Source organism: Homo sapiens, chromosome 6 (assembly GCF_000001405.40).
Source record: "Homo sapiens chromosome 6, GRCh38.p14 Primary Assembly".
In the NCBI taxonomy this organism is placed as follows: domain Eukaryota; kingdom Metazoa; phylum Chordata; class Mammalia; order Primates; family Hominidae; genus Homo; species Homo sapiens.
The window spans coordinates 125,070,791-125,094,475 of NC_000006.12; the positions used below are offsets into that span (position 1 = coordinate 125,070,791).

Here is a 23,685-nt window from a genome sequence, read left to right on the forward strand (position 1 = left end):
TAAAAATACTTTCAAAAATGAATTAGAGGTTAGGATTTTATCTAGAGTAAAATATTTGTTGGGGGCAGTAATACATAACAGTCAACTTAGTTATCAAATGCTGCTTAAACAATAAAGTAAGCCTTCATTTCTTGGTGAAACTGGAGACAAATACTTGTGGGCAGATGTATACTGATTTAGTCATAAAACATTGTAGGTTTAGCAGTTCATTTACTGTTATTCTTCTACCTTATGATTAGGTAGAACCTTGTTTGAAAATAAAAGGCCACATTCCAGTTCTTTTTTTTAGATACTTTGTGGGCATTTTATTGAATTAAATGTAAACAACTTGAGGAGGACAGGTACTATTTTCTTCATGCAGATGGTTCCCAAGTTAGGATGGTCTGACATGATTTCGACTTTTCTTACGATTTTTCAACTTTTCCATGATGTGAAAGTAACATGCGTTTGGTAGAAACCATATTTCAAATTTTGAATTTCGATCTTTTCCCAGGCTCAAAGTAAGCTGGGCAGTGGCAGCGAGCTGTGCAGCTGGCAGTCACCCGTGCCATCACGAGGGTGAACAACTGATACTCACAGTGGACTGGGTTGCCAGCATTTTTTGGATATTGTGTTTTGTTTTTTCACATCCCATGTCTACAAATTGCCCATTTTCAACCTATGATATTTTCAACTTGGAGCATCTGCCTACATATGTGTGTGTGTGTGTGTGTGTGTGTGTGTGTGTGTGTGTGTGTGTGTGTGTGTATATCTTATTACAGGTTTTAATCCATCCTGTGAAGAATATCCTAGGCACAAAAATGGCTCCTTGTGTCATTTCCATCTACTACAATGTGGACTTAATATCAAACTCTTATAAGGGAATATCTAGCTTATTCTGAACATTTCATCTTATGACCTTAAGTATAGAAAGATATAAGTAATGCTTGGTGCCTAAATATTCAATTCCTTAAATGTCAGTCATCCTTATTTGTTATAGATAGAAGAAACTATGAGTACTAACAATTCAAATGTCATTCATGATTTATGAGTGGCCAGTTTTATCTAATGGATTAGGATTATCTAGTCTTTCTCCATCTTTTAAGTAAAAAGAGAATTTTGATACTAAATTTTAGCCACTTGGGCAGTTAGTTTATTTTTTAGCAGAGCTAAACTCATGAATATTTTTGGAGCTATAATAAAAAATAAAAACAGCTTCATTGAGAACAAAATGAACTTTCTGTAAATATAATTTAAACCTATGTTTTAAGGCTTTGTGTTTTAAAAACAAAGATGACACTGTTAAAGTGAGACTGATAAAGGTGTACTTGGGGAATTCATCAGCATAAGAAATGTATTATCCCCTGGTAGTACGAGTTTAAAATTACAACTTGCTTAGCAAATGTGAAAAATAATGTCTCCTGTTGCAGATTGCATTTTGCTAGTTTATTTCTCTGTTAGTGTCAAATAAAATATTCATATATAATCAAGATATATTCATAATAATATTAAAGGCAGCACTGTGTACTTGACAGTTGGTAAATGATGAAACAATTTTTTCCGTGATTATGTGTATAAAATACTCAAATTAATCTATAGAGCCATATAATCCCAAAATGTACAAGGTTACTATAGAGCTTACAATTTTACCACTTCCTGTACAGAAATATTATTTGACCAACGGTATTTTAGTTGCCTGCTGCATTTGGAATATAATAATACTAATAAGGAAAGACTGTTAAAAGAGAAAGGCTAGAAAGTGCAAACTTATTTAAATGAAATAATAAATAGGCCACATAAAGATTTTAGAACCCAATGAAGCAATATTACAAACAGATATAAAATTACAGTGAAAATTATATGTGAAATATGAGGCAAAACTTATTAGAACAAGTTTTTCTGTCAGGAAAAGTGATGCCATTTGAAGGAAGAATGGCACAGAATGGCAAAAACAAGAAGACACAGATATACCTTGTGGAGGGAGAGCTGACATGTTTGTCTGACTGGTTGGCAAATAATATGATTGATCTTCTGGTGTTACCTTTTAAGTTCATCATAAGAGGCTACTTAGCATAATAAAGAAACACATGGATTCAAAATCTTTCTCACTCACGAGGATTATCACTCAGGCAGATTACTTTTCTGAACTCTGTTTATGAAGAAGAATGCCAATCTCATGGTGCAGTTATAAGGCTTAAAAGTGCTAATCTGTGTACAATGCTTGGCACATAATAGGCTCTACGCAAAAATTAGCGCTCTTTCCTTGGTAGATCACCCACGACACTGCTATCAGTGTCAAATCAGGAAATTTGTTAAGTCGTATTATCTCCACTTTAAGATCAAACACAATATATAGTCAAAAAGTTGAATGTACGATGCTTTGGGTTTTCGGCAGTTGTCTTCAAATATGTCCTAGTGCTCATGTGGTTTAAATAAGGATCAGAAATGATTCAGAGGTCCAGTAGGGCTGTTGGCCTGTGGTATTCCTAATGCCATTTACTGTGCTAAATGGATGTGGCTACAGTAACCATTGATAAACATGAACAACAGAGGGTAAGTGCTGGACTAGGAGCTGACTCACAGAAAGCTAAAGGGCTTAAGCTTCAAAGACCTTCACCTGCACAGGCCCCTTCTTAGGCCTTGTATCTAATTTGTCTTTGTAAGTTGGATTATTTTGCTTAAAGAAGGATTCTCAAATTAAACAATCTACAGGCCTTGCAAAACCTGGATCCACTGCTACTGGTCTGTCATGTAAAAGGAAAAAAATCACTATGACTAAAAAAGTTAGATAAGGCAACCCATAGCAAGAAACATGAGTTTTGCTTTTCTTGCCCAAATCATGATTTGTTGGTAACTCTCGACCCTAGGTGCTTATATGCCCTTGACCACACACTTGCCTATCTAGGAAAGCACTCTCTAGTCCAGCATCAGCCTAAGAATTGCCCATATGAAGAAGTAAGAAAGGGGACTGCCTGGCAGTCCAGGAACTTGCAGTTAAATTACCCGGGTATTTGATTTCTGGCATTTTTAGGTGGGTAAAGGGGAATAAGTAGATGGGAAACAACTTTATATTGACCTGACTCCATATGTGCCAAAACGAGTTTGGCACTGTGCATAGGTTATCACATTTTACACTGGTTGGTAGGGAATATTATCTAACTTGACACTTGGGAGAGGTAAAGTAACTTCTTTTTAAACAGCTAGTGGAGCTAGAATTCAAACACAGGGCTTTGTGAAGTCAAAGCTCATGTTCTTTCCAACCTCTCTGTAAGGCAGAAGCTTACCTGCCAAGTGTCAGTCACCCACTGGAAAGGAATGGACATTTCACCTCCCAGTTCACCTAACGATTTTGAATACATAAAGTCCTGCCAGCCAATTGACAAACTTTTCTTTCTTGGTCCCTTCATTTCCCCATGTATGAAGTGCCCGCCTGTAATATGCTGTGTTCCACTTAATTATTACTTCTTCAAAATGATCACAGTCACCAAGAAACTCTCCAGTTAGGTAGGTCGGTAGACAGAAGATAGGTAGATAGATAGATAGATAGATAGATAGATAGATAGATAGATAGATAGATAGATAGGGATGGGAGGAAGGGGGAGAGAGAGGTGTTATCTTTTAAGTGACATTTTTGTGATTACTATGATTAATGGCCGTTATTAGTTCACAAGCAGCCTCATGAGTTCTTTTGAAATTCATATTGTTCCATTAAATTGCAGTTTTATATTTTAGTTATTTAATCCCTAAAACTGAAATACTGCACATAATTTGGAGTTAGGAACTTCAAAAACTTTTTATTCCTAAAAGCTATACAACAAGGTTTTATTTTAAAGTAAAGAAAAATTTTCATCTCTCAACCTTTTCATTTCTCCTTTCACAGAACTCTTCTCTTTTTCCTGGATGATTTTATCCCACCTCCATAATCATTGACCAGTTTTTTTAATGCAGTTATAACTACACTACTTCAGACATTCAAATAAATACACTGTATTAGGGGAAGGAAAGGATAATTTTAAAGGAAATATGCAGAGTTTTAGCTTATGGCTAAGACTTGACTGACAAGAGTCAAACAACTACTGAAGGATTTGACACACTTGTTAATTGTAAAACTCCCAATTGCTTTAAAACATTCACTGACACTCTAGTCCCGAAACAACACAATGAATAGAAGCCTCCACTAGTCAAAATGGTATCAGGAGCATTTTCAATAAAATTTCTAAGCAAAGAACTCACATGTGAATGAATAAAGATGTGACTTGAGCAAGTACCTACTCCAAGTGCAAGCTTGTCCAACCTGTGGACCACTTGCTGCCCAGGACAGCTTTGAATGCAGCCCAACACTAATTTGTAAACTTTCTTAAAACATTATGAGATGGTTTTTGCAATTTTTTTTAGCTCATCAGCTATCATTAGTGTTAGTGTGTTTTATGTGTGGCCCAAGACAATTCTTCTTCTTCTAGTGTGGTCAAAAGATTGGACACCCCTGCCGTAGTGAAGTAGTAGACTATTTTTAGGAGGTCTCATTTTAGTAACAGGAGAACTGGGCAATTGTATTAGTCCATTATCATGCTGCTATGAAGAAATACCTGAGACTGGGTAATTTATAAAGAAAAGAGGTTTAATTGACTCATGGTTCCGCATGCCTGGGGAGGCCTCAGGAAACTTACAATCATGGCAGAAGGCACATCTTCACAGGGCAGCAGGAGAGAGAATGAATGCAAGCAGGGGAAATGCCAGACGCTTACAAAACTATCAGAACTTCTGAGACTCACTCATTATCACAAGGGCAGCATGAAGGAAACTGCCCCCATGATCCAATTCCCTCCACTTGACCCTGCCCTTGACACGTGGGGATTGTTACAATTCAAGGTGATATTTAGGTGGGAATACAGAGCCAAACCATATCAGCAATGTAACCAAAATATTATGTATTTTGATTAAATAATGTTAAGTTAAACTATGTTGTCTTTTATGATTATTCATGCAACAAAGTACGCACAGATAAAGATGGCTCTAATTTCTATACAATATCTTTCCATGAGGATTCTGAGTTGAGTTTCCAATTTTATCGCAAAGAGTAAAGTCTTGATTATAACATGGTCTCACTGCTTGAGGCGGTGACTACCACACTGTATGTTATATATGGTGTATGTATATATACCATACCACCACTGTATGGTATATATGGTATACATATATATGTATATATGGTGAACTACCCAAAAATGAAATCCTTGTTACATGATGGGTGAAGCTGTGTTTACATGTAACTTGACTGCAACAATAGAGGAAGGTGCTTAGTTGCACAGATGGTATTGTACAAACAGTTCTACAAACAACACATTTACAAATAATATTAGAGCTGAAAACTAAAAAGGTATTGCAAATACATTTATATCTGCTATAATTTCCTTCAACAAAGAGACCTCTGCTTTTTGGTATTTATTCACAAAAACTTTTATGTAATCCTTTCTTTTAAGGAATACTGTTTATCTCTGCTTATTCCCCCAAGTTGGCTCATTCTTGCTGATCATAGCATAAACAAAATATACTTTCAAAGCATTTTAAATTGCCTCCTAACCGTTGAATTAGGTGTATGTCTGGAAAGATAAATGTGTCTTCCTTGGAATGTGTTTGCTTTTATATTGGTCAAGATAAGCCAACAGCTTGAGTACCTGAAATATTATCAAGCTTTGCACACATGAAAGTATTTGGTAAAAGGATAATCTTGGAGGGTATGATTATAAGCAAATTCACAGCCTCAGGAGTGCTGTGAGAGACTTTTATTTTGGTGAAACTGGTAAGTGTTGTTTCATAAAATTTGCGATTTTGCTTTTTAAAAACTCAGCTAACTCTTTCCTTCTCCTTCCCTCTCTTGCTGATACAGATCCACATCCAGCGAACTGAAGGATGTGACCATATGACCTGCTCACAATGTAACACTAATTTTTGTTACCGATGTGGTGAGAGATACCGCCAGCTCCGATTTTTTGGAGACCACACATCAAACCTCAGTATATTTGGATGCAAATATCGCTACCTCCCAGAGAGACCTCATTTAAGGAGATTAGTGCGAGGGTCAGTCTGTGGTGAGTGTCTGACATACTTATGGGTGTCTTCCCTGGGAATTAAGTAGTGAAAATAGAACTTGGAAATGTGCAGCCATGGTAATTCAGAGCACCTGCCATGTGCCCAGTGTTCAGAGGAGGATATTCTCTCACCCTTTAAGAATAAAATTTAAAACTTAAATTTTGTTACCAGGACACTACTTATATGAGCAAGTAGTAATTTTGTTTGAAAAAGCAGCTTATTAATCACACGCAGAAATCTGAAGTTATTTGCCTCTTAAATTTCTGAAACCCTGTCGTAAGCCACTTAACAAGAGGGGCAGTGTCATGTATATTTTTGTAATGGACAATATCCAGCAGCAGGTCGTACACATATCCTCCACTCATTCATGGAGGACCTGCAATACAGTACAGCATGGAGCGTAGCCTAGGAAGGCAGGGGAAAAAATCTACCTTTTAGAGCCCTGTAATAGAGTTCCATTATGTCTATATAAGTGATAAGTTGCATATATTTTTCATTGTTTTAATTATTAATAGGTAACAGTTAATATAATAAGTATCAAATGCCCTCAGTGCATACAAACCCAAGTTTAATTATCCAAGTGAAAATGCTTTTGTGGATTGACTTTTTACCCCCTCTTCCTCAACAACACATAGTAGCCTCATACACAACCCCTTCCCACACTGGTACACAAGTATGCAAATAGAAACACAGACACCTGCCCATAAACAAATCACCCTGGCCAAATGCCACTGCCTTTGGGTAATGCAGGGTTCTTCGGCGGAATATTTCTTCTTCTGCTCCTCTGGAATGTATTCCATTCCCTGCTGCTCTGGAATGTAACCATGTGAGATTTCTTCCCCTTTTTCATCACATGGATGTCTGTTAGAATTCCTTTTCTGGCCGTGTTTCTCATGTGTAGGCAATACTTTTTATCATCTTCCACATTTCCGTTTTCCTTCCTACTTTTGCCTAGTTGCTTTATGAAAATCTTTATATCTCTCCTTAGCCCTTGGTCACTTCATGACTGTTGTGAACCATTTTCCTCCTTAGAAGCATATGATACCTGATCAGAACAAAGCTGATGTTAGTGATAGATTTCTATCAGGTAAAAGATAGAACATGTATACGCAAATGCACTTTCACATATGGAAACCAATGCCGTCATTTTCTAAAATCTATGTGATCTCTATAAAAATATTCTTCCTGAGGTTAATGGAACATAATTTTCCACAGCCAATAGCATTCAATAGTCAAGACTGCTTTTAATGATTTTCCAGTGCGTGCCGCTTCTTAATTTGCAAATATGGTGGATGTTATAATTATATAACCAATATGTATGTATTAGTTAAACAGATATTGGAGGGATAACTAGGGAATCTAACCTTAACCTCTAATACCATGAGAAAATCAATTGCAAATTAAGTTCTGAGATAGAAGCTGTTTGCAAATCTGTATATGGAGAGAGCAACATGAAAACACAAAATCACTGTATTTTTTGCATTGTTATTTTATTTTCTACTTCAGTGCCACCTTTAATTTGGTCGTGGCAGTGTGTTTCCGTCCATTCTTTATTTTAAATAGAGAAGTCATTTATTTGGCTCATGGTTCTGGAGGCTGAGCAGTCCAAGATGTAGTGGCTGCATCTGGTGAGGGCCTTTGTGCTGCACCATAGCATGGCAGAAGGGCCAGCAAGCCCACGAGACACAGAAAATGGGAGCCAAACTTACCCTTTTGTCAGGAACCCACTCCCTTGATAACTAACACGCTCCTATGATAGTGGTATTAATCCAGTCATAAGGGCTCTGCTCTCAAGATCTAATCACCTCTTAAAGGCCCAACCTCCCAACCTCCTTTTTGGCCTGTCTTTTGTGTGTGCAGGCGCATGTGTGCAAATAAAATCACATCAGGTTAAGCTTGTCAAAGTAGGGAGCAGCTGGCTTTAAGATAAACTCTCTCATCCACACATATTTTCCCCACCCCAAGCACAGCTGCCTCTTAACTGCTGTTGGACCATAACTCCAAGTGAAGTGGTCCTCCCTCCCCCATCTCCACAAATAGCAGGAAAAGTAATGTTGTAATTTACAAAGTTACTTACTCCCTGCCATTTCAGAGAGAAGATGGAGTATAGGAAAGCCCTCCCACCCACTGTCCTTGTGTGATGTGACACAACTTGCTCCCTCAGTCTTGGAATACAGCCTCATGTGGTCCTTGGCCAGAGGCAGAGAAAGGGCCTTCATCTCTCTCACAGCTGAAGGGTGGGAAACATGGTCTTCATTCCGTGTAACCACGTGCTCAGCTAGAGATCAGAGGTTCTGCTCATAAATTATAAAGGAGAAGAGAGATTTGGGGATGATTAGCAGCCTCTGACATAGGGGCATCTCCCCCAGTGAGGCGTGGGCAGATTATTAAAGGAATGGTACTGGGAATAAAAGTGGCTGAGGATAAATTTTAAATTCTCATATTACTTCTTACAAAAATTCTAAGTTTTAAATCAAGTCGTATAATTTTTAAGAATAGGTCTTCAATTGATTTCTAGATGGCAAATAATTTATATAAACAAAAACAATGGAGCCTTCTCCAAAAATGAATACTCAATTAAAAAAAAAAAAAAAGACAAGCCTGGAGCCAGAATTGAAGAAATACAAATAGCCAATACATATGTTCAAAAATATTCAGTGTTACTAGCTGTCAGAGAAATGTAAATTGGCAGTCTCAAAATGAGATACTTTGAGTATTATTAACTTGATAAGACATCTGCTAACTATTGATTAGCAAATGTTTTATCAAGTTAATACTTAATATTGGACTTTCATACTTAATGAATTGAAATTTTGTACAATTCTTTTGCAAAGAAATTTGATACTAATGTGAAGGCCATTTTAAAACATGATAAATCTAGATAAACTGAAAATGGGTTATGTGCAAGTATAATTTAAAATAGGGAAAAGAAACAAAAAATTAAGTATAGGAATATTTAAATAAAATACGATATATGGATATGATAGCAATTAAAAATGATGTTTTAGAGCAATGTTACTAACCTAGGAATAAGAGATAGTATGCCTAGTCCCTTAAAACAGTTTCAAAAGTAGATGTAAACATGTTTTGAACATGGATTACATAATTGGAATAAGTTTATTTCCTATCTCGTTCCTTCAATTCTGTGATATTTGAGAGGAAAAAGAAAATCAATGCTGTTACTTTTTAGTTATGTTTTATTACTATTAGGAAAATATACTGATAATTATTTAAAAAGGAAATATGAATGAACAGACTGAGCTATGTGCATAGGAGAAAAACACATTCTTTTAAAATATATGTGCTTATATATTCTAAACTCTTAAGCATCACTTTAAGAGTGTACTAAACGTAATTATTCAATGGGACTTATTACTTACTTGGATTCTGTCATTGGCAAAAAATATAAATAAAACCCATATCTAGACATGGTGCTAATGGAATGGAGATCTTTTTAAATTAGATATTTAAAACAGTGTTGTATACATGTCTGGTCATCTGGTTCCAAAGATCATTTCTTAAGAATAAAAAAGTTAGTATGTTTTGACAAACTTCCAACAAATGGCTGTATTAGTTTCTTTTTTAGTGTAATTGATTATTCTAAATTACTGTCCTTTAATTTATAGAATGATATTGCTGTTTCATCCTTAAATTGCCTTGTGAGTCTACTGCAAAGTTTCTCTCTTTCTCATCTCTTATTGCATTTGAGTTGTGCGGCCCTGAAGCTGTGTCACATGCCGTAAGGTTTAAAATACAATAACAACATGTATTTACTAACCTCTTTTTTGTGCCTGTGTCTTTCAAAGTCAGTGGGATTCTGATGTTGGACTCTGCTATGTATACTTATGGCTAGAGTTTATCATCACTGCTTAGTGATTCATTTAGAAAAGAAAATGCTGGCTGATACCACTTGACATCCTTACCAGCACTTTGCCTTTTTATTTTATAAGTGCTTCCTTTTTCAATTCGTTAAAATGATTCACTTGAGTAACTTTCAACGTACTAGGTATTTATTCATAGTTTTCTCTAACATCTTGAAACGTCCCATTTTTAGTTCAGTCTGTTAGGCGTTCATATTATTAGTTTTCTTTGGACCCAGGATGTAAATAAACCACTTCTTTAGATGTGGGCTTGGACAGAAGCCCTCTGTAGGACCTACCAGCTCTCCATGTTATGAGGTAACAAGATTTTCTCCTACCAACTCAAAATGTGCCACTTCTTTCTTAATCTTTTAGCATTGCGAACATTGAAAATGGAAAGGATCTTAAGGAAAAGCACAAAGATGAACTGTCCTGGTAGAATACAGTAAGCCAGTTGCTTTGGAATGTTTTTGGTTAGAAAGGATAAGTGATTTATGTTTGATGCATGTGCTCAGGACTTTGGTGAAGTTACTAAACTTACATGTGTATATCTGTTCTATACCTAATCCTGATACATTTCTTAGATATATACAGCCTTAAGTGTAATCAGACTACTTAAAAAATAATATACACTGTGGTATTTAAAAAGCATCACTGTAATTATTTGGTAGGTTAGTTTTAAGACTCCTTAAATAATTTTGCCTTTTGTTTTCCAGCTGGAAAATTATTCATTGCACCTCTAATTATGGTTTTGGGATTGGCACTAGGGGCCATAGCGGTTGTAATCGGTAAGAAACACTTCATGCATCTGAGATTAGAATTATCTGAGGGCCATAGAGAGAATACGAGTGTAAATGTAATAATATGAATCAGTTATTAAGTGGACATAATTTATGTTGTATGCCTGCTTTAGATAGATTACCAGCATATCATTTAAAAGGTCAGAGGAGCGTGTTTCCTGTAGGATATGTTAGTATGAATTTTTCAGTCTATGAACACTGTGATTCATGTACCTTATAAAGCATTATTAACCCTTTTATAACACAAAGCTAATAGAATTAGTATCCTTAGGGAAAAAGGCAAGTGGAATAGAACCCAAATTTTCTAATTCTGAGTTCAGGTTGAAGCATCAAGGAAAAGAAGCTCTGCACCTTATGTGTTTCATTTGGTCCAGTAAAAGATGCCATAGGTACAAACAGATAATGTCAGTGTGTACAGGAACATATACCCAACATACACTTGAGCACTGACAAATAGAAAACCTTGCAGTGATTTGCATAGTTTTATTTATGCAAGTATATTAAAATGTGTATTTTAAAGCAGTGGTTCTCAGACTCTAGCATGCTTTAGAATATCCTCAAGGGCTGGATAAAACACACATTGCTGGTTTCGGTCTGCAGTTTCTGACTCGGTATATGGGAAAAGTCCATTGATTTTTATTTTTAAAAAGTTCCCAGGTGATGCTCATGCAGCTGGTTCAGGGACCATACTTTGAGAACTATTGCTTTAGTAATTTTAAGCTAAATGCTATAGATAAAGGCTGCTTTGATCATTGTTCCATATATTAGATGGGGTTTTTTTGCTAAATAAAATGATTTTCGTATGTCAACTTGGGTTTAGCAAGTAATAAATGTGCAGGACAGATAGAATTATAAAGTATCTGACATTTAAGTTCTTGCAATGTGAGTTAGGACATTATGTAATAGATATTATTATCTGTATTATACAGTTGAGGAAATTAAGACTTACTGGAACCTCATAAGTGGTAGAACCAGGAATCAAACCCAACATTTGGCTCCACAGCCTGTGTTGTTAAGTGATATGCTATACTGCCTGAAACAAGTGTGAGTATCATAGTGTGCAAATGATATGACTGTGGACAATAAAGAAGATTTAAACCAAAGTTTTGATATTTGGATAGAAATCATTATTATTAAACTGGTATCACTGAGGGTGCTAAAGGGGAGAAAAGCTAAAGGGAAATATTAAAGAATGAAATATTGAAGAAGTAAATACATTTCATAGCATAGATGTCTTCTTCTTTGTATGTTCGTACACTGCAAATAAATAAACATAGACATTTTAAAATAGGAAAACCTAAATGCCTCTCATCCTAACTAACTTTAATTTTTTCTTATCCCTAGGTTTATTTGTATTTCCTATCTATTGCCTTTGTAAAAAACAGAGAAAACGATCACGGACAGGTATGCACTGGTAACATGCAGATGATTTCATCCAGCTAAGCTGGTTGGAGTAGGAGCGATACCAAAGGGTACACCCATCTGTGAGTCACATCTTGAAAAACACTGAGAGGAACCTTCTACCATCTCATCTCCCAGTGATTCTCCGTGGGCCACAATGCCTCTAGCTATGGTGCACTCCCAACATGGTATCCTGTCCTTTCCCTAAACAAATTGCTGCTGCTTTTAAAAAATGGTCACTTTCATAAACTATAAACATCTATATCATAACTCTGACCTTTGTGGTTCTTGGAAGAAGATATTTTAAGAACCAGTTATCCTAAGAATTCTGAGCACGCCTCTTCTGAGAATTGCTTGGACTGTCTTTGAACTCTGCACCTCCTTCCAGGCCATCTTGTGAGACTTGGTGTTAATAGCTGAAGTCCTATCTGTACCAACAAGCAAGGCCACTTTTCAGAAGATAAGAGTTCACTGAATGCACCTATTATAATCTGTGGCCCCAGCAGTATAATTCTTTTATCTTTCAAATGTTATAATTGCAAAAAATCTCAATGTCCAAAAGGGAATGAGTGAAACTAAATTAATGAGAAGAATATTAAGTTACTGAAGTGTATATGCGTAGGGGCGTGAATGTGTGTGTATATAAATATGTATTAAAACTAGGCCCAGTAACCTTGTACTTACCCAGTTCCATGCCGCTACACTATTTTTCCACATTTTCATAGACCTATTGAAAGATGATGGCTCCTTTGTGGACATAATTTAGCAATGTATTAAATTAAAGTCAATGTAGACAACAGGCCATTTCGATACTGAACTTTTCTATTTCTTGCTCTTTCTTTTTGTCACACAAACACAGAAATTTGTGCAACGTCACCCCAAGGAGTATTAAGCTTTGTAAACTGACAAAACTGGCTGCTTTTAGGAAATTCTCAAGACACAAATATTCAGTCTTTTTAAAATTCTTACATTTTGGAAAACATGCTTCACTCTATAGATAGATCCTTCACATTGGGATTATTTAATCCCAAAAACAAGTTTGCTGTAGACAACTGCTTAAGCCTTTAAAAAATTCCTATTCTGCTAATTTTTTAACCAACTTGTAATTATAGATAATTCTGCTTTAGGTCAAGGTCTTACATCATTTAATATCCTAACCTTGTTATCTCTTGCCTCCTCCTCTCTGTTTTTATTTGTTTTCAAGGTTTTTCATAAAAACAAATACTAGTTTTGAAGGATTTTTTCTTACATTTAACTGCTCAAACATAATATTTTTGGGGACACCTTCTTATGGAGGAGTTTGAAAACTTTTTATGTTCTTGAGTTTGTCCAATATCAGCTGCTTTTGGGAAAGGAAACAAAAAAGTGAAGGAAATATTTTCAGGAAGTTTTTCTCAACCTACAAAAGCTTTAAAAATAAGAAATTGACAAGTAACTAGACTATGATATGCCTTTGCTTTCATCACAAAAGTTCATCAGCAAACAGGAAAAAAAAAGACCCCTAAAAAGCCTAAAGCTTTAAATTGTCTCCAAATTCTTAAAATTAGTCATCTGTCTTAGATGTACATTTATTTGTCAGCAACCTTGTCTGATTTGAAATAGATGATATGATAAAACATGCATTAACATGAGTAGTTTATTTTTGTTGGGCTCCAGAGTGTAAGAATATTTTATTTTTTGTTTGACATAAAAAGTGAAGTTGACTTGCGTGAATAACAATCCAGCATGCTTTCATTCTTTCTGAATAACACAGAATAACTGTGCTACAGCTTCTGGATTAGTTGTCTATTTCCAGTTAGAGGAGTGTGTGACATTTATGGTTTGGGAATAGCATATTTCTAAAGCATAATATAATACAAGAAATAGTGATGCTCTGTTTTCACAAATTTATCTTTTCATTCACCCATCCATCCATTTAACAGATATTTATTGAGTGCCTATCTTAGGTGTAATAGTATTTAAGACTGAAAGAAGGAGAATTTCTAACCTGTCATAAGAGTAAGGTTTCGTAAATTCATCTTTCCTGAACTTAGGCATTAGTTTGGCAATATGTGAATATGATGAACTCTAAACCTAGCTGATCTGTATATGTATGATGTATATATGTCATATGTATGATATATATGAAATATTCCCATAACTGCATATGAACACATATGCCATATACATATATACCAACGGGCTGAATAACATACTCTTTTGTCTTGGATAATCTGTTTTCTGGGTTATGTATCTGTTGTCTTTGGCCTACTCAGGGATTTTTATTTCTTTAAATAACTTATCTTTTGGACATATTTTTATATTATTTGGAAAACTTTCCAATATTCCTGTTACAAAGTGGTGTCTGTTTTCAGTGATGGCTATTTCATCAGTGCTTGAAATAGTGTGCACTGTGTTGCACAGGTTTTTCATTTTTCTATTGAGTAGATATTTTTAAATTAACATACACATTTTTCTCTTTAAAGGGTCATATCTATTAGGCCTTTCCCTGCTGGTAACTTAAAATGATTATTTGTGAATTTTTTACTAAGTTTCATCAAGATCTTAAAAAGAGAGAAGAAAATAAAAAGTATTATTTATATGTCAGTGCCAACTTTGAAGGTAAAACAGTAGTAGTAACTTTTGGGAGAAATTCTAAAAACTACTTTAAAAAGAAGCGTGCACATAAAATAAATATCTTTCTATCCAAGGCTTGTCATTTTATATGCTTTTATTGTAAATTTAATATATACTACTTTAAAAAATTGAACTATACAGAATTTATAAAATACAACTTTCTCTACTTACCCCACCTCTTATTTTCTAGGGGTAACCACTGTTAATGGTTTGGTATGTGTCCTTCCAGACACTTTCTACAAATATACAAATAAGTGTGTTTGTGTATGTGTCTGTGTGTGTATTCATTTTATACAAATAGAAAAATATTCTTACTGTGCTGTGACTCTTTGTCATTTTATTATATATTAATAGATACCTTTCCATAAGCGTTTAAATAGATTTACCTCATTCTTTTATAAATTACTGCATAATCCATTGTAGGAGTATACTTTAACTTATTGAATTAGTCCCCTGTTGAATGGACTACAAGATTATTTTCACTTCTCTATTACAAAGAAAGCAAGAGTGAAGACCCTTTTGCATATATTTTTGTCACCTTGCATGAACATATCCATAAGGTTGTACATTTGTTTTTTACAAGATCTTTGTAATAAACATTTTAATGTAATTTCAGGAGATGAGGTCATAGAGATAATATGAGACCCTTTTTTGGATAAAAAGAAAGATTGTACAGGAGTGCATAATTTTTAAAGAAAATCGTCTTTTGAAGGGTAATTTCCTTTCTGCCTGATTAGCCAAATAAATACCTTGCCAAAACTTACAATAGGAAATTTTTTTTCAATAAAAATAAAATTTGAGGAGATGTGTGTCAGATAATGTGAGAGAGATGAATTGACTTTTGGATTGCCTCATTTTAAAACTTGAGGGATTTAAATCAAATACCCAAGCCAAATTGGTGATACTTTTCGCATTTTTAGTAACACTATCCACTTTTGTGTATGTTGCTTGACAGAGGAACTTAATTATGCCATTGTGAAAAGTAGGAAAGAATATGTTGGCAATTATAAATGCCCACAGCAATTCCCAGAAAAATACATTAGATTATGTACGATTTAGTGATTTGGTGGGATAATTATAAATCGTGGAATAATTTATATATGTGGAGTAAGAAGAGAGGGGTCAAACCTTTTGGTACAAGCAACATCTTGTTGCCACCACCTTGATTTTCTCATAGGTGCTATTGTGTCCTAAGAGTAGAACAGACAAGAAAACAAAGATAATTAAACACAAGTCAGGTTACAACATGATATCTTTAATTGTACTTTCTCTGCTGTGGTATCAAGATTCAGTGGTGCTTGTCAGAAAATACCTTGTTCTGTGACTCTGACTATCTCTTGAGTCCCAAGGCTCCAATTGAGCCTTTATCTTTCAACCTTACCACCCAAGTATATGACCAACTGTTCTCCTAAAATACCTATGAACCACTGTAATCATTTCCAGTCCCTGATGCCCCTCTTCAACCTCATTTTTCTCCATACCTCTGCTATTCTAACTATTCCTCTTCACTGAAGGAGAAGAGGAGAGACAGGAGGGGCCTAAAAACTCACTCTGGTATGTGGGAAACATTAGAATTCCTTCCTGACCTTTGTCAAATGAGGGCACATCTGCCAAGACATCAGTCCAGCTTCTCCCTTGTTAAATGAAATTGTTTTTAACATTACACTTTTATACTGGCTGTTACATTAGAATTACAAAAAAGTTAGTGGCCTCTATAACCTTAATTGGCATACTTTACTACAAAAATAAGAAAATGTATGCCAAAAAACGTTTTTAGATTTTAATTTTATAAGCAACCTGCACATAAGCCTTAATGTGAGTCTTCACATTGGATTATATTTTTATTCTCCCATATTTGTGGCTGAAATCTCTCCCAACTATTGAGAGTGATCTTTCCCATGGTCTGCTTTATTGTTTTGTGTTAATATCTATTATAAATATAGCCTTAAAATTTTGTAATGCACTTTAAAATATTTGTGCCATTTAAATAATGACAAAGCAATCAATGCATACATTTCAATGGAGACAGTATACAAAGTTAAAGCAACTGATACATATATTTCAGTGGAGACAGTAGGATAACAGTGTTAGCAAATATGTGTCATCTCTTTAAATTTGGGAGGAATCAGAAGCTAAAGATTTAAAACAAATAAAACATACCTGAAGAAAAGTAGCAATTTCTGAAATTGTAGTAATCTTGGAATGGTTATCAAACCTAGCAAATAATACTTAATAAGTGTTACCTAATATACCTAATTGGAATGTTTGTTTAAAATATTAAATTAATTTATACTGAAAGTTTTAACTGCAATTTCATAATTCATGAATTCTATAAAAGAAATCTCCCTCACTAAAAATATGATCAATCAAAACTACCAGTTTTGCACACCAATCCCAAGTTTAAGCATATTTTGTATTTAAAGTTATAATTTAATTATGATACTGTCCCCCTAATATGGAAAATAAGTTACAAAATTCTTTTTTTTTTTTTTTTTTTTTTGAGACAGAGGTTCTCTCAATGTTGCCCAGGCTGGTCTCAAACTCTTGGGCTCAAGCGATCCTCCCTCCTCTGCCTCTGGAGTAGCTGGGATTACAAGCACGTGCCTACTATGCCTGTCTTCAAAATCACATTGTTAATTTTTATAGCCACAATTATTAATTTGATAAAACAAATAATTTTATAGAAGCATTAAAGTATTATCAGAACAAAATCAGAGTTCCAAAATTTGGGGAGTATTTTAAGATTGTGAAATGTTACCTTTTGGATGCAAACCAATGATACAAATCTTTAAGAAAGAATTACAGTGGGACTCCTTTGAAACTCTGATTTTGAAAATAGAACAAATACACATTTCATAGCCAAACTTTGTGTGGGACTTCTATTGTTACTAATTGTAAGGCTGTAACTTTGGTTGACTTCATCCAAATCCAAGAAACAGAGTCACAGTAGTGAGACTATTCTCATTGCTTCTTTGGAGCATTAGCTGAAGCTTTACCATATCACATACCTTACAAAATCCCTATACATATTGCCAGTTTTAAAAGAATGTAATTATGCATGTTACAAACTATATATATCTTTTTGGCTAGAGAAGTGACTATTTTAGAATAACAGTATGAATGTAAAAGGCAATAATTTTTTTTAAATACACAAAACATTGCCATTGCCCTTTTTTGTCACTTCCTTTTTTCTTCTAAAAATTTTCATTTGGTGTATCTAACTTTGTATCACTTAAATTATTCAGACTTACTAAGATAAAAAATACTTTTTTTCAGTTCTGTGCTATATTCTGTCACTCTATTCCATTATTAATACTAAATGACTTTCCTTGTGAAATGATACCCACATACTACAACATCAAGCTCCTTTTTCTCTTAAATTTCCTAATTATCTTGATTTTTGCCTCTGCAGTCTTCTTCCCATCTTGGCCAAGTGTGGGATAAATTCTGTCTCGCCCGTAACTCCTTTCACTGTAATGAAATGAATTCAACACTGAACGCACTCCAGAATTTAGCTCTGGTAGTGAGCATAATTTACCTTGGCTTATTTTATTTGTAAATGGAAATGTATCAGGAGTGCCTGGAACACTTTTCCCTCTTGATAGGAGTTGGAGAACACTGCCTAGCCCTCTGCCAAGAAGTAAGTCAAGCAAATGAAGATACCAGTTGGATCAGAGGGCCTAATAATAGTCTAAAACCAAGCTTCAGAAATTGCTTCGTGACTGTTGTAAGATCAATATTGTGTTTGCGTATTAGTTGGACAGAAAGCATGTGTGGACATTCATCCAACCTGACCCCAGGTCATTCATTCTCCATCCAAAAAGGGTTATAGGTATGGTTTATGGTCTTTGTTTCAGCAAAACGTCCTACAGCTTGGACTTGGGGTGGATTTATATAGTGTAGCATTTGTATATAAGATTCAATTATGGATTCATGCTCTGTGAACATTGTTAGATTTTTAATAATCTAAAGTAGGTCACATTGAATGTAACTGATATTAACCCTATTCTAGAGAAAACATTTGTCATTTGCAAGTGTTTGACTTTTTTATTGATATGATTTAGATATGCCACACTCAATATATTTAGTATAGATTCAGTACATAACAGGAAAGAAAAAGGGAGAGACAGACTTGAGTGTTAAAGGACCCCAGAAATTGCTGAAATGTCCTTTTAGATTCTTGTGGCTGGCAAGCTATGCTGTCATTGGTTCTCTGCGAATCTGTGATGTGTTCACTTCGCCATGCCCCAGCTTGGGAAATATTCTTAGTAATCCAATCAAATCCTTAAAAACAGCATTTTTGTGAATGTATTACTTCTTCAATATCCCCATATATTTGTATTGTTTCAAGCCACTAGTATCTAAATTTTTGATATAAATATCTAAATTCTTTCATTTTATAGAAAATTAGCATGCTTTATGTTTCTTTATAATGAAAAGTCTAGATAAAGTATCATAATTTCATTATCAGCTGACAAGAAACCCTTCTAAGACCCATTTTTTTAAGTGTCATATGGCAACTCCTCAATAGCTTACTTTTATTATTTGATCATTTTCATCACAATTGCAATCCTCTAGAGGGTATTTTAAAAAGTAGACCAACCTTATGTTTCACGTGAAACATAGAATAATAATTAGTTTGTATATATATAAAACCATTTACCTTGACAAGGACAATCTGTTACAGATTTTTAATATGAAAATTGACAATTTTGTTGCTTTTAGAAGCAATTAACATAGTAATTAGTAAATTCTGAGAGATGACAGAAATGATTTTCTGTAGAAGGAACACAACAGTGATGTTAAAATGTTAACAAAGAACCAGTTGTTTTGATTCTATTTTAAACAAAATTGTAAGGCAATTTTATGAAACAAACATTTATATCAATGTATATCTATTTCAAAACTGTGGGACAATTATTCATTCTTTTCCCAAATAGAGTAAAATATTAAAGAGAAAAAAATTCGAGTGTTTATCTGTTATTACTGTATATTCAGAAATTACAGTTCTAAGGAATTATTGTCATCCTCTAAGTATCAGAATGTATTCCATTTTAATTATATTCTCCTTAACAATAGAAAATTAGAAGAAATTTCTTGATCATAAGATGAATAGTAATTTGTACCAGATCTTGTCCATCATTTCATTAGATTGCATATTTTTAGTTTTCTATAAAATTTGCAGCCATTTTCCAAATAAAGTAAGTTATAATATTTTTCAAGTTTAAAATGGACCGGGTTGAAAAGAGATTTCATTGATTCTTTTTAATGATATTGGAAAATATTTATGCAATTTTATTTTTTAACCTTTTCTCCATTTCATTAGTTATACTATTAACTTTGATAATCACAAAACTATGTGGAAGAAATCATTCTGATTATATTTTATGAAAGAGAGGGGTAGAGTAAATTTTTTAATTAGACAATGTTGATATGCAGAAATCTCTCAAAAGAAATTGCAAAGGAAAAATTACGTTGAGATGAAATGTTGAGAAATAAGGAGTATCTTAAAAACCTAATTTCTTACACTTTTTAGAGCAATCAACTTATTTCCAAATTATTATTTCATGCTGTTGTTTCCATGAATTGTGTTTTTAGCATAGTATATACTTTTCTACCACGTTAGCATTTACACTCTAATTACTGAAAATAAAGGAAGAAGTTGGTGAATAAAAGCCAGGGAAACTGGGTTTATTCTCATTTTCCAATAGCACTAATGTATAATCCCTTTAACCTTCCATATGGTGCTTTGTGTGATGAGTATATAACATTCATATACGTTATTAGTGCCTTATTTTTTTCACTTGACTTTATTTCTTATCTAAAGAGCCATATATTTTTTGTGAGTGTTCTTTGGTCCCTCTATTTAAAGTGCTAAGGAGAAAGCATATCTTTAGGGATGTATATAGGCTGCGTTTGCTACCTTAATCTACTGTATTATCTCTAAAACAGGTTAGCCAATGTATTTTTCTTAAATTCATTGTTCATTTTTAAGCTAACCTATACAAATGGATATTAAACACCAGAAATTAAAGCCATTAAAATTGAATTGTACTTTAAAACCATAAAAAATGCTAATTAAGTTTAGAACAGGAGTTGAAATGACTCTCAGTTTTATCTATAGCTCCAATTAGGACAAAATTACTTTACAAAAAGCATTAAAAATAAAAGTAACTGTATGGTACTTCAGGAATTTGACCAGTTCCTTACAACTTATTCTTGGCAATATTTTGTCAGTAATATACTTTCATACAGATGCTAGAGAACCATGGTGTCTGCTATTTACATGTTATTTGTTCCCAGTGAGCTTTATCAACATCAACCCTGTTTATATAATATGTTATTTTGCTCTTCTTGATCTGTGCCTTTTGTTTTAGCTTTATACAAAATGCTAGGTTTGTTATATTCTTTATGTATCATAATATATAATTCAACTTTTCCTGATGAATGTATGCTGAATAATTAAACTAAACCATGTGCTTAGAAAAGACAAAGACAGGTTGTATATGCAGTTATGTGTAAATATTTGACAAAGAAAAAAAAAGGAAAAGAATCTTCCTGCCAACAGGTAGGTCCTGCTGGACAGGACCTGAAAATTAAGAGATTTTTTTTTTTAAGCAGTGAAATTTAAAAATCTATTACCTCAAGAATTTTCAGTCGATATGTCAATGTACTGTTCCTTCTCAGTAAGTACAGTGTCACATGCTGCTGGCGGTAAAAGCAACCCAAGTGTCAGATCACACAAATTTTAGGGACAAGTCTTTCAAAAGACGGACACCTTGTGATATTTTGGAGTCTAATTTCCGACTTTTCGTAATGTCCCAATGACCTTTTGTTGTGGTTGGGCTTTTATAAAAAATTATTTTCGGTTGGTTGTTGTAGAATGGAAGAGTAATCTTAATTATGAAATCAGATTGCATGGAAGAATATAAAGACACTCACTCGGATGAAAACTATAACGGTTTTCAAACTATTTTGATGGTCATTGTACGAGCTATTGTATGGATTACTGTGGAGTGCTGTTTACCACATGATGTGTGCAATACATCATGCAATGTTATTTAGCAATGCGTAATAAAAGTTTTTAAAAGAGAAAATTCTTGTCTTTTTTTCCAATAGGTTTGGATTTTTAAAAAATTAAAAATAAAACTTCACAGCAACAAAACTATTGTGCCTACAGTTACTGGAGTAATTTCTACATTGGACTCTAGAAATGGAGGAGCAGGAATGAACAGAAATTCAAGGGTGTGCTTTTGGGAAGGTGGATTGTGTTGTGTTGCTGTGGCACGTTTTGGGGAAAGAGCACAGAATAGTGAAGATCAGTGCAAACATTCTGCATGAGGCATGAAAAAGAAGCAAATAGTGTGGAAGTAAGAGATCAGCTTAGGGTGGTCTTTACTCTCTAGACCAAGGGGCCTATACAGGGGTGGGAAAGCAGAAACCACTAAACTGCTAAAGCCAAATATATACGCCTACTCTATAACCTAGCAATGATTTTCCTAGATCTGTCACTAAGGAAAGAATGGCCTTTGTTGACCAAAGGGTAAGTACAAGAATTTTCCTTAACAGTAAAATCATGAATATATTGTGATATATTCATAGAATGGAATATTATAGAACAATTAGAATGAAAATAATCTTAATTTTGAAAAATTACAGAGCAATCTATGCAAAAATACAGTTGACTCTCACAGATACTATGTTGAGCAGATGAAGCCAGGCACAATACAGTATATATTATAGGACCACATTTATATGATGATCAAAAACAGACAAAACTGATCAATGATAATAGAAGTCAGAACGGTGATTACTTTTGGGGTGGGTATTATTGACTGGTAAGGGGAATCAAAAATCTACGATTATAGAAATAGTCTGTTACTTCATGAGGGTGTTATTTGGGAGGCTGAGGCAGACAGATCATGAGGTCAGGAGATCAAGGCCATCCTGGCTAATATGGTGAAACCCCGTCTCTCCTCAAAATACAAAAAAATTAGCCGGGCGTGGTGGCAGGCGCCTGTAGTCCCAGCTACTCAGGAGGCTGAGACAGGAGAATCGCTTGAACCCAGGAGGTGGAGGTTGCAGTAAGCCAAGATTGCGCCACTGCACTCCAGTCTAGGCGACAGAACGAGACTCTGTCTCAAAAAAAAAGAAACCGAAAAAACAAATTCTGGATCAGGCGCAGTGGCTCAAGCCTGTAATCCCAGCACTTTGGGAGGCAGAGGCAAGCAGATCACCTGAGCTCAGGAGTTCAAGACCAGTCTGGCCAACATGGGGAACCTGTCTCTACTAAAAATACAAAAATTAGCCAGGCGTGGGGCGGACTCCTGCAATCCCAGCTACTCGGGAGGCTGAGGCAAGAGACTCACTTGAATCCAGGAGGCAGAGGTTGCAGTGAGCGGAGATTGCACCACTGCACTCCAGGGGCAACAGGGAGAAACTCTGTCAAAAAAAAAAAAAAAAAAAATCTGGAATGTATTTTATACTTCCATTTTAAAAATTAGTGGAGCAAAAAAGATACTATATTGTCTTTCTTGGGTCGCTAAAATCCTTTGAAAACATGATGTTTAACCTTTCAAATGGCATATATTTTAGCTATTTATAGTTTCCTGCTATCAGCAGACTACAGTGAAAATTCTTGAACAAAAACCTTCTGATAAGCCCTTAGTAATGGACTTGCAAGTCGAATTCTAAAAACAATTATGAAGCACGTGCTCCCACATATACCCAAATGATACCATTTCAAGTTGATGCCAATTTATGTTCCCATCACCAGTTTACAAGAGTATTTATTTCATTTCATTTTCACAAAAACTATTTTATCTCTTTTTAAAAAATATTTGCCAATTTGACAGGTAAAAAATGGCATCTAATCTTTTTAAATCAGACACACACACACACACACACAGTGCCAAATGTGTTTTCTAAATTAACTTTTC

General features: G+C 34.5%; 1 protein-coding gene across 10 annotated transcripts in view; it reads left to right on the plus strand.

The window, feature by feature from the left end:
• Positions 1-21,844, plus strand: part of RNF217 (ring finger protein 217) — a 130,198-nt gene extending 108,354 nt beyond the window's left edge. For 6 of the 10 annotated variants that reach the window (XM_011535494.3, XM_011535496.3, XM_011535500.2 and 3 more), the window contains 4 exons: positions 5,867-6,068; positions 10,646-10,717; positions 11,659-11,773; positions 12,074-21,843. In XM_011535494.3, the coding sequence (XP_011533796.1) occupies positions 5,867-6,068; positions 10,646-10,717; positions 11,659-11,773; positions 12,074-12,107 (423 nt within the window). In that variant the 3' untranslated portion in view covers positions 12,108-21,843. Of the gene's footprint in view, positions 1-5,866; positions 6,069-10,645; positions 10,718-11,658; positions 11,774-12,073 lie in introns of all 10 variants that reach the window. The other 4 variants (NR_104440.3, NM_001286398.3, XM_047418241.1 and 1 more) reach the window with 2 other exon arrangements.
• The last annotated feature ends 1,841 nt before the right edge of the window (positions 21,845-23,685 follow it).